The sequence below is a fragment of the Homo sapiens genome, chromosome 10, assembly GCF_000001405.40.
Source record: "Homo sapiens chromosome 10, GRCh38.p14 Primary Assembly".
In the NCBI taxonomy this organism is placed as follows: domain Eukaryota; kingdom Metazoa; phylum Chordata; class Mammalia; order Primates; family Hominidae; genus Homo; species Homo sapiens.
The window spans coordinates 23,331,243-23,346,927 of record NC_000010.11 but is presented as its reverse complement, the minus strand read 5'-3'; the positions used below and the strand labels follow the sequence as shown (position 1 = coordinate 23,346,927).

General features: G+C 43.6%; 1 protein-coding gene and 1 long non-coding RNA gene across 15 annotated transcripts in view, besides 1 other annotated feature; one reads left to right on the top strand and one right to left on the bottom strand.

Moving 5' to 3' along the window:
- Nucleotides 714-1,008: a silencer, noted in NCBI's record as "tiled region #3018; K562 Repressive non-DNase unmatched - State 24:Quies". NCBI's record gives its function as "represses a minimal TATA promoter and a strong SV40 promoter by Sharpr-MPRA in K562 cells {active_cell/tissue: K562}" and the evidence as "EXISTENCE:reporter gene assay evidence [ECO:0000049][PMID:27701403]".
- Nucleotides 1,767-2,971, bottom strand: C10orf67-AS1 (C10orf67 antisense RNA 1). The gene is made up of 2 exons (NR_155752.1): nt 2,838-2,971; nt 1,767-2,504 (listed from the first exon to the last, which is right to left on the bottom strand). It is a non-coding gene; the product is annotated as a C10orf67 antisense RNA 1 (long non-coding RNA).
- Nucleotides 2,131-15,685, top strand: part of C10orf67 (chromosome 10 open reading frame 67) — a 142,882-nt gene continuing 129,327 nt past the window's right edge. For 12 of the 14 annotated variants that reach the window (XR_930487.2, XR_930488.2, NM_001365862.2 and 9 more), the window contains exons 1-2: nt 2,131-2,359; nt 13,746-13,866. Coding sequence is in view for 11 of the 14 variants with exons in the window: in NM_001365862.2 (NP_001352791.1) it covers nt 2,151-2,359; nt 13,746-13,866 (330 nt within the window). In the remaining 3 variants the exon portion in view is untranslated. Of the gene's footprint in view, nt 2,360-2,849; nt 3,023-13,745; nt 13,867-15,685 lie in introns of those variants that run through there. The other 2 variants (XM_047424968.1, XM_017016031.2) reach the window with 2 other exon arrangements.

The following is a 15,685-nucleotide window of genomic DNA, read 5'->3' as shown; positions in this document are numbered from 1 at the left end:
TGCAGTCTCGGCTCACTGCAACCTCTGCCTCCCGGGATCAGGTGATTCTCATGCCTCAGTCTCCCAAGTAGCTGGGATTACAGGCGTGCATTACCATGCACAGGTAATTTTTGTATTTTTAGTAGAGACAGGGTTTCACCATGTTAGCCAGGCTGGTCTTAAACTTCTGACCTCAAGTGATCTGCCTGCCTCCGCCTCCCAAAGTGTTGGGATTACAGGCATGAGCCACCGAATCCAGCCAAAACACTGACATCTTTAAACAATGTTTTCCCTAGTAGTGGTTTAGGAAGAAGGAATAGAGTCCTTCAAAGGCCTAGTTGGTATTTCTCTTGCAGTTGCCTCATGCATGTGCTGCGTGTTTTTCTGCTTTATAGATTACCCCAACTTTGAGAAACATTCATTATCCAGTTTTTACTTGTGAGAAAATAGAGGCTCTGAAATGTTAACTTACTTGCCCAAAATTCTAAATCGAGTAAGTTTCAAAGCCTGTATATATTTAATATTTACTGCAGAGTTCATGAGCTTTCCACTAAAGCCATCAATGAATTTAGCATGTGATAAAAGAGGCCTGGATTTAATATGACAAATGTTTTGACCACATCAACGCCAGTTACTACAGGTGAGAATCTGATCTGAAATAAACAATTTTATAAGCCGGAACACCTGTGAGATAAAATACAGGTAACTGACAAGAAGAGAAGTATTATGTAGTTAACGGTTTCAAAAACAATCATCATCATAGCGTGGTCTCTTAGACACTGAAATCTGAAACTCCTTGATATGCTATAGCAAGGTTTCAAACAAAGATGTTCTGTTCAATGCATGTTTTTGTGGGATGGCGTAACTATGCAGACTATATCAGTCAACAAATGCTGTACAGAGCTGACCAATGACTCATGAAATCTTCTGTGCGATCTCTCTCCTCAGTTTCAAACGATTCATTTATAATTGCACTAGGAAAATAGCCAACAGCTTGTCACATTCTTTACACTGTCTTGGCCCAGCTCTAAACAGATAGGTTTTGAAATTTTAACTTAAAATTTTAATCTTTATTTTAAAACATGTATATACATTGTGGTAAAATATCACTTAGGAAAAAGAAAAGTTATTGTAGATATATAAATTTCTTTCTTTTAAAATACCTTTTGATTATATAATAAAAATTCCCCAAATAAAGTCTGAAGTTAGAGTTTGTAATTAAAAACCTCCAAAGAGTAAAAGTAACTCTTTTTCTCTTCTCTCTTCATCTCCCCCCCAAAAAATAAGCCTTCACAGAAGATGATTTTGGCATTGGTTATGATGTTTTATTGGCATTTGGGGCTTTTAATCTTTGTCTTTAAACATAATAGTAGTGATAATGCTACAGTGCTTTTCTTTTCCTGTTTTGAGCTTCTAAATCCAGCTAAGTTATTTTCACTTACTGTTACAAGACAGAGAAGAGGCCGGGCTCTGTGGCTCACGCCTGTTATCTAGCACTTTGGGAGGCCGAGGGGGGCAGATTGCCTGAGCTCAGGAGTTAGACTAGCCTGCACAACGCGGTGAAACCCCGTCTCTACTAAAAATACAAAAAATTAGCCTGGCTTGGTGCTGTGTGCCTGTAGTCCCAGCTGCTCGGGAGGCTGAAGCAGGAGAATTGCTTGAACCCGGGAGGCGGAGGTTGCAGTGAGCCCAGATCGCGCCACTGCACCCCAGCCTGGGCGACAGAGCGAGACTCCGGCTCCAAAAAATAATAATAATAATAATAAGAGAGAGGAGAAAAAACTTATTTTTCTGTAGATAATATATTGAAATGCAGATGTAGTATAGACAGTTCTAAACCAGACAATGACATTTTAAAAATAAATTTAGCCAGTCGTTTACAGAAAAACAATGACATACTGATATTAGAATAGGTGTCTCCTATTAGTTGACAATGAGTGATACATAATTTAAAACTAAGGATGACAACAGTTTCACTATTAACTCTTATTATTGTAGAAACCTGGTAAAATTGAATTCCACACTAGATGGTATAGTTTAAGACTTAACGCCTCACATTCTGACCTCATTAAATAGAAATCTGTTTAATCTCTGCAAGGAAATATTTTGTCCAGGAACGCCTACGTTTGTGGCAGGTGGAGACAGCTTATTAGGCAGCCTGCTCTCCTCTTATGATGGCCTTGGTCCGGGATCGCAGGGCTCATTATGTCATGAGCATAGTTATTAGATGGGTTCACTGCTTTTCCTCCTCCTTGAGGGGGACCTTTGGCACACGCTGGGAGGCCATGAAAGCCAAGGCCACCGAGCTGCGGGTCTGCTGCGCGCGTAGGAAGCGAGAAGCTCGGGAATTCAAGCCCCCGCAAATGCGCGGGTCCACGAGGTAGGCTGAGCTCCGCGCCTGGGTAGAGGAGGAAGCGAGCAGGGTCCAGGGGCACGGCGGGAGGCTGAAGGGTTATTTACGGGGGTGCAGCTTTCCTCTGGGGTATCGCAGCAGCCTCCAGGCTGTGGGAGTCTTGTGGGGAAGCCTTGAGGCAGGCGGGACAGTGAAAGCGCAGCGGGGTGGCTTGGGAGCCCGCCCCGCCTCCTCCTCCCCCTCTCCACTCCCCTCCTCCCGCGCGTGCTCCCTCCCCATCCTCCTTTCCATCTCTTCCCCCTTCCCCCACTCCTTCCCCCTCTTCCTTCCCTCCACACCTCCTCTACTTCCTTTCCCTCTCCCCTTCCCCCCCATCCCCAACCTTCTCCCTATCCCCCTCCTCCCCATCTCCTTCCCCCTTCCCCTCCCCACCCCGTTCCCCACCCCCCTCCACTCGCGGCCCTCCCCGGCCCCCGCCCACGGATTCCCGCGCTTCGCCGGTTACCTGGGAGTCGCCATGGCAACGGACGCCGGGTTCCCGACTCCGACTCAGGAGAGCGAGCGGCTCCGCGGGAGGCGCACGTCCGGGGCTGCAATGGCGAACTGGGGCGACTCGCCTGAGACAGAGGAGGGCCGGAAGATCATGGAGGGCCTCGAGGCCTCTATTGAACAATTCCAGTTCAACCCCAGGTGACCAGCGGGAGAGGCAGTCCCCGCCGGCCCGCCCCGGAGCCCTCGCGCCCCGGCCCTCGCTCAACGCCTTTCCAGGCCCCTTGCTCCAGCCGCTGGGCTTCAGTTTTTTGTTTGTTTTTCGAGGGGATCACTGTCCGAAAAGAGCTGCAGTTTTCACTTCTTCAAGTGTATAGCTGGACACTAAGAGCACGGACTCTGGAGCCAGACTGCCCGGATTCCAGAATCTTGGCGACCCTCTCACAGGGGCCGTGAGTTAGGCGACTGACTGCTCTGTGCCTCAGTTTTCTCAGCGGGAAATAATCGTTCATGAATGATGAAGAGTAGTGCCTGCTTCATAGATCATAGTGAATATTAAATGAGCTAATCTAGGACACAGTACCCGTCTTAGTCCCCTCGGGCTGCTGTAACAAAACAACATAGGCTGGGTGGCTTATAAGCAACAGGAATTTGTTTCTCCCAGTTCTGGAGGCTGGGAAGCCCACTGGCAGATTCCAGGTCTGATGAGGGTCCCTTCTGCACAGACAGTACCTCCTGGCTGTGTCTCCACATGGTGCAACGGGCAAGGGAGTTTTCCCCCACGTCCCCCACACCCGCTCCCACCCTGCTTTTAGAAGGGCACTAATCCCATTTATAGGGCTCCACTTTCATGACCTAGTCACCTCCAAAGTCCACACCTGCTAATATCGTCATCTTGGGGGTTAGGATTTCAACATGAATTTTCAGGAGACACACTCAGACCATAGCAGAATCATAGAAGTGTTTGCCGATGTCATTATTTGCTATTCCTTGATCCTTGTTTAAAACCCGTCCCTTTCATAATCCTTTGCCCCCTGTGTTCTAGCTTTGTTGTTTATTTGGATAATGTAGAGCTGATGTTTCTGGGAAAATGCAAATTTCTTTCTAAAAACCTTTTCAAATCAGTAGGTAGCCAGAATTAGCTTAGCTGCTATGGGAGAACTTACCGTTGTATAAGGCAGGGGCCTCATGGTGCCAGGTGGGCTGGCTTAGGGGCAAGCCCCTCACACAGACACAGCTCCAGGGTGAGAAGAAGGGACCACAGGTGTCCTAGCCCAGCAGTGGGACTGACCCAGTGAGGCAATGCTCCTGGGCTGGGCTTCCCCAGCTTCACTGTATTCAATGGGTACGTTTGTTAAAATGGGTCAGGGTGCACGGGACCTGGTCTAGTGGTGGTTGTGAATAGCATTTATTAGAGGCAGCACGTGATAAACACCAGAGGCACACAGCGTCTACCCTGTTCTAGTGTTTGCTGATAGGAATGGTGTCCTGCCCTGGACTCCTTGGCATTCCATGGTGGGGTAGCTCCCAAAAAAAAATGCACTTGCCAGGCTCAAGAGCAGACCGATGGTGCCGGGTGCTCTTTGGCTGAACAAAAGAACCACTGATGCCCATATTCCTTCCTCTTCACCCAAAGTACTAGGGCGACTGAGCTGGTGCCTGGGTGTGAATGAGAGAGGCTCAGGTGCTGAACGTGGTCCACAAAGCAGACGAAAGCCCGGCCTTTGTGGAGTTTGCATCCTAGTCAGGAATTGATGATGAACTAGATAAACAAGTAAACTATGTAATAAGTTAGATAGTGGTTAGTGATAAGGAAGAAACCGAACATGGGGAGGGAGAAGAGGAAAGTGAGTAAGTGTGTGAGAGTGTGTGTGTGTGTGTGTGTGTGGCAAGTGGGGAGGGAGCTGTGATTTAATTTTTGTTTTGTTTTGTTTTGTTTTTTAGAGTCAGGGTCTCACTCTGTCACCCAGGCTGGAGTGTAGTGGCACAATCATGGCTCAGTGCAGCCTTGAACTCCTGGAGTCAAGCGATCCCTCCACCTCAGCCTCCTGAGTAGCTGAGACGACAAGCACACCCCAGCCTGCCTGGCTAATTTATTTTTAATACAGGGTCTTGCTGTGTTGCCCAGGCTGGTCTCAAACTCCTGGGCTCAAGCAGTCCTCCAGCCTCGGCCTCCCAAAGTACTGGGATTACAGGCATGAGCCACCATACCCGGCCTGGACTGCAGATTTTAGAAATGGTGATCAGGGAAGGCTTCACTGAGAAAATGACACTGGGGTGAAGACTTGCAGGCTTGAGGGGGGAGCCCTAAGGATCTATCAGGCTAGCAAGTGTTCCAGGCAGAGAGAACACTGGGTAGAAAGATGGTGCCTGGATGTCCTAGGAGCAGCAAGGAGGCCAGTGTGGCTGGAGCAGAGAGGGAGAATAGTGGAGGTGAAGTCAGAGGGAAGGGGGACGGTGCCTGTGGCGAGGGACTTTAGACTACCTTAAGGACTTCAGCTTTTACTTTGAGATGGGAAGCCATGAGGGGATTGGAAAAGAGGAGTGACATGATTTGATTTATCCTTCAATGGGATTACTCTGACGGCTGTTTAGATAATAGACTATAGTGAGGACGAGGGCAGAAACAAGGAAACAGGAGACTATTACAATATTCCTCATGGAAGATGACCATGGGGTAGCAGTGGTTGGAGGTCCGGAGAGACTGTGATGAACAGGTAGAATGGAATTGCCAGTAACCCGGATGGGGAGGATAATGAGATGAACAGGTCTGAAGGGAATATCATAAGCTTACTTCTGGTCATTATATGTCAGCAGTGACTATTAGACATCCATTTAGGCTGTTAAGTAGGTAGTTGATTAGATGAGTCTGAAGTTAAGAAGAGAGGTTCAGCTCGGCTGTATCAGTTTGGAAATAATTAGCACAAAGATGGTGTCTTAAGCTGAGAGCCTTGGTGACATCAGCCAGGAAGTGAGTGTAGTTAGAGAAGTTTATGAGCCATGGGGCACATCAAAGTTCTGTGTTCTTTGAAGAGGAGTAAAAGGAAGCAATATTCTTATTTAGCCCTGAGAAATATGCCACAGTGAAAGTTTAACACACCTAATGTTGTCTTCATTGACTGATTTATTAATAAGCATTTGTAGGATGGACAATTCTAGGATTCAGTGAGAAGAGTCATTGCATTTTATTAATACATATTCATAGGTCTGTTTTCCAAAATAAATTAGGACGTTAATTTTGTATGTAATTTATTTTAAAAAACATAATTATCTTCCCCAAATTCTGTTTTATGCATAACCACCAACTTATTATTCAGAAATAGAATTGCTGAGACTATAAATAAAGACTGTGTAGGAACCACTTAGCTAATTTGTTGTGATGTGGGTTTCCATTCTAGGTAGCAGGGTTGTTAGCTAAAATTAGAGACATTTGGAATTTGAAGGGACACTGAAGAATAAATCTTCCTCATTCAGTTAGATTCTGAATGAGCTGGAACTTTTTGAGTCAGTCACATAAAGAGTTAGGACTGGTGAAATCGGAGAGTCATGGGCTTATCCTCATCAGGGAGTTAGAAGAAGAATCTGCCATTTCCGGCTGCCCCTCTGTCACCCAGGCTGGAGTGCAGTGGTATGGTCACAGCTCACTGCAGCCTCTGACCTCTGAGCTCAAGGGATCCTCTCACTTCAGCCTCCTGACTAGGTGGAGCCGCCGGTGTGTGCCACCAGGCCCAGCTAATTTTTTTTTTTTTTTTTTTTTGTATTTTTGTAGAGACAGGGCTTCACCACGTTGCCCAGGCTGGTCTCAAACTCCTAAGCTCAAGCAGTCTGCCCACCTTAGCCTCCCAAAATGCTGGTGTGAGCCACCACACCCAGCCTGAACCTGATTTTAAAATATCATATTGTATTATTGTAATATTATGGTACCAGAAGGAATACCTGAAAACATAATTTCAAGTTTCTAAATCATATCCTGAAAAAAAATTGGTAAAAACTATTCACACTCCATAAACCACCCATGATAGGTCTTTTGCTTAAAATGGGAAGGAACAGAAGAACATACATGTTCATGCTTAATGAAAAATGTGGCTGAATAGTAAAAAGGAGCCGCTTAGCACTGGGTAGGGTAAAGGATTGCATTTCTAGACTGGAAAAGTGAATCACTGGGATCTGTTAAATGTGCAGCAGTGTAGACTATACAGAAACAGAATTAGTTCCCATGGCTGTTTATATTTACTATATTGATGTAGCACTCAGGGTCCAGACAGGAGGCAGAAACCTCACTGCTAATTTCAACAGGGACTATTTCCTGTTCTCTGTTAAATAGTAAGAAGGATTTTTAACTAGTGAAAGGCAGTAAGGTGGTAAAAGAAGACTCTAGACAATACACTGATAGCAAACACAAAAAGCAGCTATGACCTCCAGGTCTGAGGAAGAGGAAACAGGGCAGAAACTAAGGAGTTAGAAGACCCGCCCTCAAAGGCTGAGATTAGGAATGATACCTCTTTGGAGAAGACATGGTGGGAGAGAAACTTGCCAGAGGGTGTGACAACTGCTGGTCTGCAGGGATGGCTTGCCCAGTGGCTGCGAAACTTGCTGAAAGGTACAGACAGGTCAAAGTTCCTTACCTAGCTGCGAGATCCAAATGTTCGTTCCTGGAAGTCCTGACTTTTAAAAGTTCTGCCTTTTTTTTTTTTTTTTTTTTTTGCTGCCTTTTTTCCATTAATCTTTATTACTGGGCACGGAAACACTAAGAGGCACCCCAAAGAATCCTCTGGGTTCCAGACAGAGTTCTCCTTGACTCCGTTGTTCACCAGCAACCCAATTGCCCCTTGGTATTCAGAATCAATCCACTTCAGCCAGTAGAGTGACTCCCTTTTCTGCCTTTGTTTCAGCAGCATAAGGATCACAAAGTGACCAGTCATCAGTGTCATCTAATTCAATAGAATTTCTGTTATGTTTTCTGCTGGAAACATTCTTCCCTTGTGAACTAAGACTTCCAAACCAGCAGATCCTAAAGTTGCAGAGACAGGAAACTATAATTTTGGGCGTGAGTTATGAGGCATAAGAGTGAGAGGTGCCTCTTCATTCTTGGACCTATGACTGTAGGAGAGATAGCACCATATACTGTTTCAAAGCATATACTGCATCCTGTGAGACAGAACTGCATTCTTTCATGGATTTGCTTCTCCCAAATATTGCTGGCAGTGCAGGTGTGTGCCACCATGCCCAGCTAATTTTATTTTTTTTATTTTTATTTTTTTGTAGAGACAGGGTCTCACTATGTTGCCCAGGCCATTCCTGAACTCCTGGGCTCAAGTGATCTTCCCGCCTCGGCCTCCCAAAGTGCTGGGATTGCAGGCGTGAACCACTGTGCCTGGCCTTAAATGAATCTTCAGTAAGCTATTTAACCTATTAGGCGAGCCACTTCTGGGTGATGGGTTATATGATAAGATCACTGAATTCCATGGGCATGAATCCATTGCTGCCTGTCTTTTGCTGTGAAATGAGTTCCTTGATGGGAAGTGGTGCTGTGAGAATACCGTGATGATGGATAAGATGTTCTGTAAGTTCATGCTCGGTGGTTCTGGCCAGTGCAGTATAGTCAGGGAATGCAAATCCATATCCAAAATAAATGTGTGTTCCGGTGAGGATGATGGAAGAAGTTCAGTGCTATCAACCTGTCGCTAGGTGGCTGGCTATTCCCTGTGGTTCATGCTGCCACGTTGGGAGCTCAGTATTGATCTCTGCTGTTGACTAGTTAGACACTCAGCACCTGTGGTAGCCAGGCCAGCCTTGGTAAGGGGAAAACCACATTGTTGAACTCCTGACACCATGGCCATTTTGTTCGAGGGCCATCAAGCAAGCAGGGGTGGCTGCAAAAGGAAACTGAACGATATCCACAGAGTGTGTCATTTTGCCTAATTATTTAACTACTTTCTCTGTAGGGGATTCCCTTGGGTGGGCATTCAGATGCCGCACAAACACCTTTACAGTCTGTGCCCATTTTCAAAGGCTCATCCACAGAACTCTTCCCAGACATTCTTGACATCCATCTCTCAATCTGTTCCTTCCAAGTTCCTGACCATCTTGTTAACTGTTTAGCAGCTGCCCATAAATTAATGTCAATACATAATTCTGGCCATCCTTCATCCAGAAAAAGTAGACAACCAAATATACTGCTTTCAGTTTATTCAGTGAGAGGATTTTCCTTCATGATTGTGTCATTCAGGGTCACTTCTGAGTGTGGCTGTGAGACTGCAGGTAACTACCAGCTGGTGAGGAACCCATCTGTGAATCAGGCTTGAGGTTTTTTCCCTCAGTCACCTGGTCATAAAGAACTTCTCGGGTTGGGTTCTCAGGGCTTCAACTTTAGTAGGCATGGTTCAATTTTTCCCCTCATTAACCTTGACCTTGTTGAGTTGGTGCCTACCAAAGTTCTCTATTTTAAATTTACCATTCTTTTCTTTGGAATAAATTACTATTTTCTAGGTATTACAATTTACTTTTTTCTAAAACTTATTCTAACCAGCCATAGTCACCAATGATGACTCCTCTCTTTTATTTTTATTTTTTGAGGCAGGATCTCACTCTGTCATCCAAGCTGAAGTGCAGTGACACAATCCAAGCTCATTGCAGCCTTAACCTCCCAGGCTCAGGTGATCTTCCCACCTCAGCCTCCCAAGTACCTGGGACTACAGGTGTTTGCCACCACACCTGGCTAATTTTTGCATTTTTTGTAGAGACAAGGTCTCGCCATGTTGGCCAGGCTGGTCTCGAACTCCTAAGCTCAAGTGACCCACCCACCTCAGCCTCCCAAAGTGCTGAGGTTACAGGTGTGAGCCACTGCACCCAGCCTGATGACTCCTATCTTAATGTCACTTTTATGATGACTGCCATGTGGTAATTCTCTGCTTTTTTTCTATATTTATTAGAGCTTCCCATCCTCATTTATTTGTTCATTCATTCATTCATTCATTCATATCAGTATGGATTGATGGATTCCTATTTTATTCAATGGGTTATAATCTGATGCTTTCATTATTTATTTTGATGCTTAAATTGTCATATATGGCCAGTGGTTGTTTCTTCAATCTAGTTTCTTCATCATTTTTACATTTTCCCATCATCTTTTGAGCATTTCTTCACTTTATGGCAAACAAAATGTTCCAGGCTCATTTTATACTTTTGCTTTCTATAATTTTATATACTTTTATTCCAATCTTGGAATGAACCATTTTTTCAAGGAGACTTCATTGCTTTTAGTGGAGGATGGTTTTTAGAAACCAACATCTAGGGCCAGGTGCGGTGGCTCACACCTGTAATCCCAGCACTTTGGGAGGCCGAGGCAGGTGGATCACTGAGGCCAGGAGTTTGAGACCGGCCTGGCCAACATGGGGAGACTTCATCTCTACTAAAAATACAAAATTAGTCAGGTGTGATGGTCCACACCTGTAATCCCAGCCACTTCGGAGACTGAGGCGTGAGAATCACTTGAACCCAGGAGGCAGAGATTGCAGTGAGCTGAGATCACACCACTGCACTCCAGCCTGGGTGACAAAGCAAGACTCTGTCTCAAAAAATATACTGAAACAAAAAGGAGAAGAAAGAAAAGAAACCAACATCTGAGTGTTAGATGTGCTCATCACTACTGGAGTGCCATTCTTCTAGGCCCTCTCATTGGACAGAACTAGAAACAGATATGTATAAATATATGCACATGTATATGATATATGTTCACATATATATGTGCACACATATATACACCTACAACTATTTATATATCTATTTATCTATATTTATAAAAGTACGCATTCATACCAATTCTTCCCATTCCATTCCATTGTCTCAGAGAACTTTCTAGTCTACTCTTTCCCTATGTTTGTAAATATCTTTCCTAGAACTGAAAAACTTGACTTCTGTCATTTTGAGAACATTTACTTACTCATTCAATGTATCCAGTCTCCCACTATTGTGGTCCTCTCCTCTGTCTGCCACCTCTGTGCTGCTGCCCCTGTTCCCCCAACTGACCCACATTCTTAGCCACCAGGCTTGCTGTTCTTCTATGCCTGACTCCCAGTTTTTTTTATGGCCCCATGTCATTGACCACTATGTTGATTCCTTCACCCTGAGAAGGGAAGAGAATGGAAGGCAAAAGAAGGTAGAAAAGAAAGTGGTTACATATGATTTTGATAGGTACAACTGTGGGGAGACTTAATCCTAGGCTGAGGGTACTGTTAAGGTACAGATGTATTTGGGGGAACATTTAACTAGTAGATATGTGACACATGAGTAAGTTACATGGAGTGTATGTAATGAGAAATGAGGCTCACCACTACCTCAGAATATATCGCATATTTTTATTTACTTGTTTACTGTAATTAGTATATGGAAAGCTGAAAATTTTGTGGGATTAACTGAAGATCTTTATTTTGAATATCAAGGAGTTTTCATGTTAAATGGCCTTTTTTAGTTGATATTGCTCTGCTTTAATAGTTTTTTCCAAATATGATGAAAAAACTATGACATTTCAAAACATCAGAGTGACAGTAGAAACCACCACCACTGCAGTACTAATAATGAGTAACATTTCTTGAGGGCTTACTGTTGTATGAAGGTTCATTCAAAATACTTCTAAGTATTAACACACTAAATTCTCACAGTAAGTCTATGAAGTGGGGACTATTATTTTCCATAAGAGGAAACTAAGGCACAGAAAGGTTTAGTAATTTATCTAATGTCACTTAGCTACAGTATCAGTCAGGATGCTTTCAGCTACAGTTGACAGAAACTGCCAACAATTGCACTTACTCTATGACATTACAGGGAGACTGGAGGTATGACAGGTTTCAGAGCTAATTGAGTCAATGGCTGAGCAAAGTCATCAGTCAAATTTATTTCCATCTTTTTTTTTTTTTTTTTGAGACAGAATCTTGCTCTGTCACCCAGGCTGGAGTGCAGTGGTGCGATCTCGGCTCACTGCAGCCTCTGCCTCCCAGGTTCAAGCTATTCTTGTCCCTCAGCCTCCCGAGTAGCTGGGATTACAGGCACGTGCCACCACACCCAGCTAATTTTGTATTTTTAGTCGAGACGGGGTTTTGCCATATTGGCCAGGCTGATCTCAGACTTCTGACCTCAAGTGCTCCTCCTGCCTTGGCCTCCCGAAGTGCTGAGATTATAGGCATGAGCCACTGCGCCCAACCTATTTCCATCTTTTTTGAAAGCTCATCATCTATGCCCTGGCTGGCCCCCCTTGTAGTCACCTAGTGACTGTGCCAGTTCTTGGCATTACTTCCACCCTTGGCAATGTCCAGAGACAAAGAAGAAACCTCTCCTCTGGTGCCCCCTTTGTAGGAGTCTAAAAACCTTTCTTACTAGCCCCCAACAGACCCTTCCTAATGTCTCCCTCTTCAGACCTGGGTTCTACACCCGTCCCTGGACATCCACTGCCAAGCAGAGTGGGATAACTGTGATGGGCTTAGCCCAGCTTGGAGTTATACTTGGCACTGTGGATATGGTCAACTTCATCTGAGTTCTGTGGGGGACAAATCTGAGGTTTGGCCAGCATGCAAGAAGAGGGGAGTTGCCATGGGGTGCCCCGCATGGGGGTATGCTCTCGTCAGCAGAAGAGGTGGGATAGAAGCACAGACATTCTGCCTTTGGCACCTACACTGAGAAGTCTGATAATTCTACTTGGGCTTTTGTGGTTCTCTTATTTTAGCTGACATTTTAGAAACAGTTGTGGTAAGTTTGATCAAATTGACAGAGTGCATCCAGAAAATTGCCTTCTTAATGCTGTTTGAGATGCCTATCCTTAGAAATCTGTAGAAGGAATTTACAAACACTTGTTCCTGGCCTATTCACATTTTTCAGGAATAATGCTTGAAAATCAAATATAGGAAGGTGGTATGATCATCTTAAAGAAACAATTCTCAAACTTTTTGGTTTCAAGACCTCTCTGTAGTCTTAAAAAATTATTGGCACCCTCAAAGAGATTTAGTTTATGTTGGTCCTATCTATTGATAGTTGCCAGATTGGAAATTTAAAAGAAGAAAATTAAAATATATTGATTCACTTAAAATAAGGATAAATCAGGTATGTGTTAATAGAAATACCATGTTTTATTTATTTTATTTTATTTTTCTGAAACATGTGCTCTTTCTGTTGCCCAGGCTGGAGTGTGGTGGTGCTTTCATAGCTCACTGCAGCCTCAACCTCCTGGACTCAAGCAATCCTCCTGCCTCAGCCTCTATAGTAGCTGGAAATAGCATATTTTAAAGAAAAACTAGCTGTATTGTTCTAAAACAAAAACTTTCATGAGAAGAGTGTCACTGTTTTACATTTTTGCAAAGCTTTTCCATGCCTGGCTTAATGGAAGAGAGCTGAATTCTCATAGCTGCTTCTGTATAATCTGTAGCCTCTGGAAAACTCCACTGAACATTTGTGAGAGAATGACAGTAAAAAGACAAATAAAATCTTAATACTATTATAAAATTAATTTGATCTCACAGATTTTCTAATAGAGTATCCCAGAACCCCAGGGGTCCTCGGCCCATACTTTGAAAACCACTGTCTTAAAGGATTTCTGCTGAATAGGCCTATGCATAATCTAGAATTATTTCCAGCAGTAGCACAGGCAATAACAGTATGGAAGATATTAAAAGCAGGTATATAAATTGATCATATCTCAGAAAAGTGGAAATCAGATGACTAACCATAGAGCAATATGCCTCAGTCCAGGGAATTTGATAATCTCATTATCTTCATTAGCTCCAGATCACAAGAGCTAATTCAGAGGCTTCCTCACCTCACCAACCTCTTAGAATACTTAAAATACGATATGATTTACACAAAAAAAGACGCATTAACATCTATTTCTAAGAAAATATCTATGACTTAAAGCACATTTCATTTCCTTTGTTTTCAGACTTAACATTTCAGATGATTTAAAGATTGGCTTTTTCAGCACAGACCATGCCACTCAAACTGATTCCAGTGAAATACTGTCAGTAAAAGAATTGAGTTCATCTACGCAAAAGTTAGCACAGGTAAATCTGAATTTGTTCTGAAACTTCTGAGATAATTTTTGGCGTTAATTGCCTTCATGTTTCTTTCATAGACAAAAGTGAAATAATTAAAATTTTTAAAATGTTAGCATCTTTGACAAACAGCTGAATGATAGCTGTGCTTTAACAAATTATTAATATAAGCTACTACTTATATTTATGTCATACTTACATGTTAATTTGTTTAATAAAGTATTTTGTTACTCTGTTGGAAATTCTTTTGACATCTGTGAACATTTTCTATTTATGACACTTTAAAAAATTATCAAACATCTTTGCATATATAATGAATAACTGTGTAACCCACCATCCAGCTTTGTCAAATTTTGACATTTTGTTATATTTTCTTTGAATTTTTTTTTTTTTTTGAGACAGTGTCTTACTTTGTCACCTAGGCAGAGGTGTGATCATAGCTCACTGTAGCCGCCACCTCCAGGATTCAGGTGATCCTCCCACTTCAGCCTCACAAGTAGCTGGGACTACAAGTGCATGCCACAATGCCCAGCTAATTTTATGTATGCTTTGTAGAGATGAGGTTTTGCCATGTTTTTCAGGCTGCTATTGAACTACTGGGTTCAAGCAATCCACCCACCTCAGCCTCCCAAAGTACTGAGATTACAGGTGTGAGCCATCGTGCCTGGCCTGGATCTTTTTTGATTGTAAAGGAGCATAGTATTGCATGTACGTTGGAGATCAAGAGTTATTATTAAAAACCCTAATCAACAAAGCTGTTACATGAGGTAGCATACCACTATACTCTTGTCTACCTTGATTTTGTTTTTACACTTGGAAGTCGTTCTATATTGACACATAGAGTTTCCTCATTTATTTCACAAGTACATTACATCACAAAATGTGCATCATATATTTAGCTTTCCATATTGATGGACATTTTGGTCATTTCTAATATTTTACTGTGATGAATAATCCTGCACATACTCATATGCCAGTAAATCTGTGATGTAAATTCTTAAAAGTGGAATTTCTGAGTCAGAGGATGTATGCATTAGTCATTTTGAAGGATATTGCCAAATTGCCCTGCATAGAGATTTTACCAATTTACACTCCCGCTAGTAACTTTTGAGGATGTCTCTTTCCTACATATTTGCCAATTTATTGTCTTCTTTTATACTTTCAGAAACATTTTATAATTTTATTCTTTCGTAACTAAGTGTGTCCAAATGACCACGTTCTGGTCAGTAGGATTCAGATGGGAATGGTCTGTGGCAGCTCTGAGGAACCTTCTTTGAGACACGGTTCACATGCGCCCTCTGTTACTTCTCCCTTCACTTTTTCCCTTCCTGCTACTTTCCATTCCCCTTCCCTTCCCCTTTTCCCTTCCCCCTTCCCTTCTTCCCTTCCCTTTCCCTTTTCCCTTTCCTTTCCCCTTCCCTTCTTCCCTTCCCTTCTCCCCTCCCCTCCCCTCCCGGTTCCCCTTCTCTCCAGGTTCCCCTCCCCTCCCTTCCCCATCCCGGTTCCCTTCCTTTCCCTTCCCTTCCCTTTTCCCTTCCCTTCCCTTTTCCCTTCCCTTCCCTTCCCTTTTCCCTTCCCTTCCCTTCCCTTTTCCCTTCCCTTCCCTTCCCTGTTCCCTTCCCTTCCCTTCCCTCTTCCCTTCCCTTCCCTTCCCTCTTCCCTTCCCTTCCCTTCCCTCTTCCCTTCCCTTCCCTTCCCTCTTCCCTTCCCTTCCCTTCCCTCTTCCCTTCCCTTCCCTTCCCTCTTCCCTTCCCTCTTCCCTCTTCCCTTCCCTTCCCTCTTCCCTTCCCTTCCCTTCCCTCTTCCCTTCCCTTCCCTCTTCCCTTCC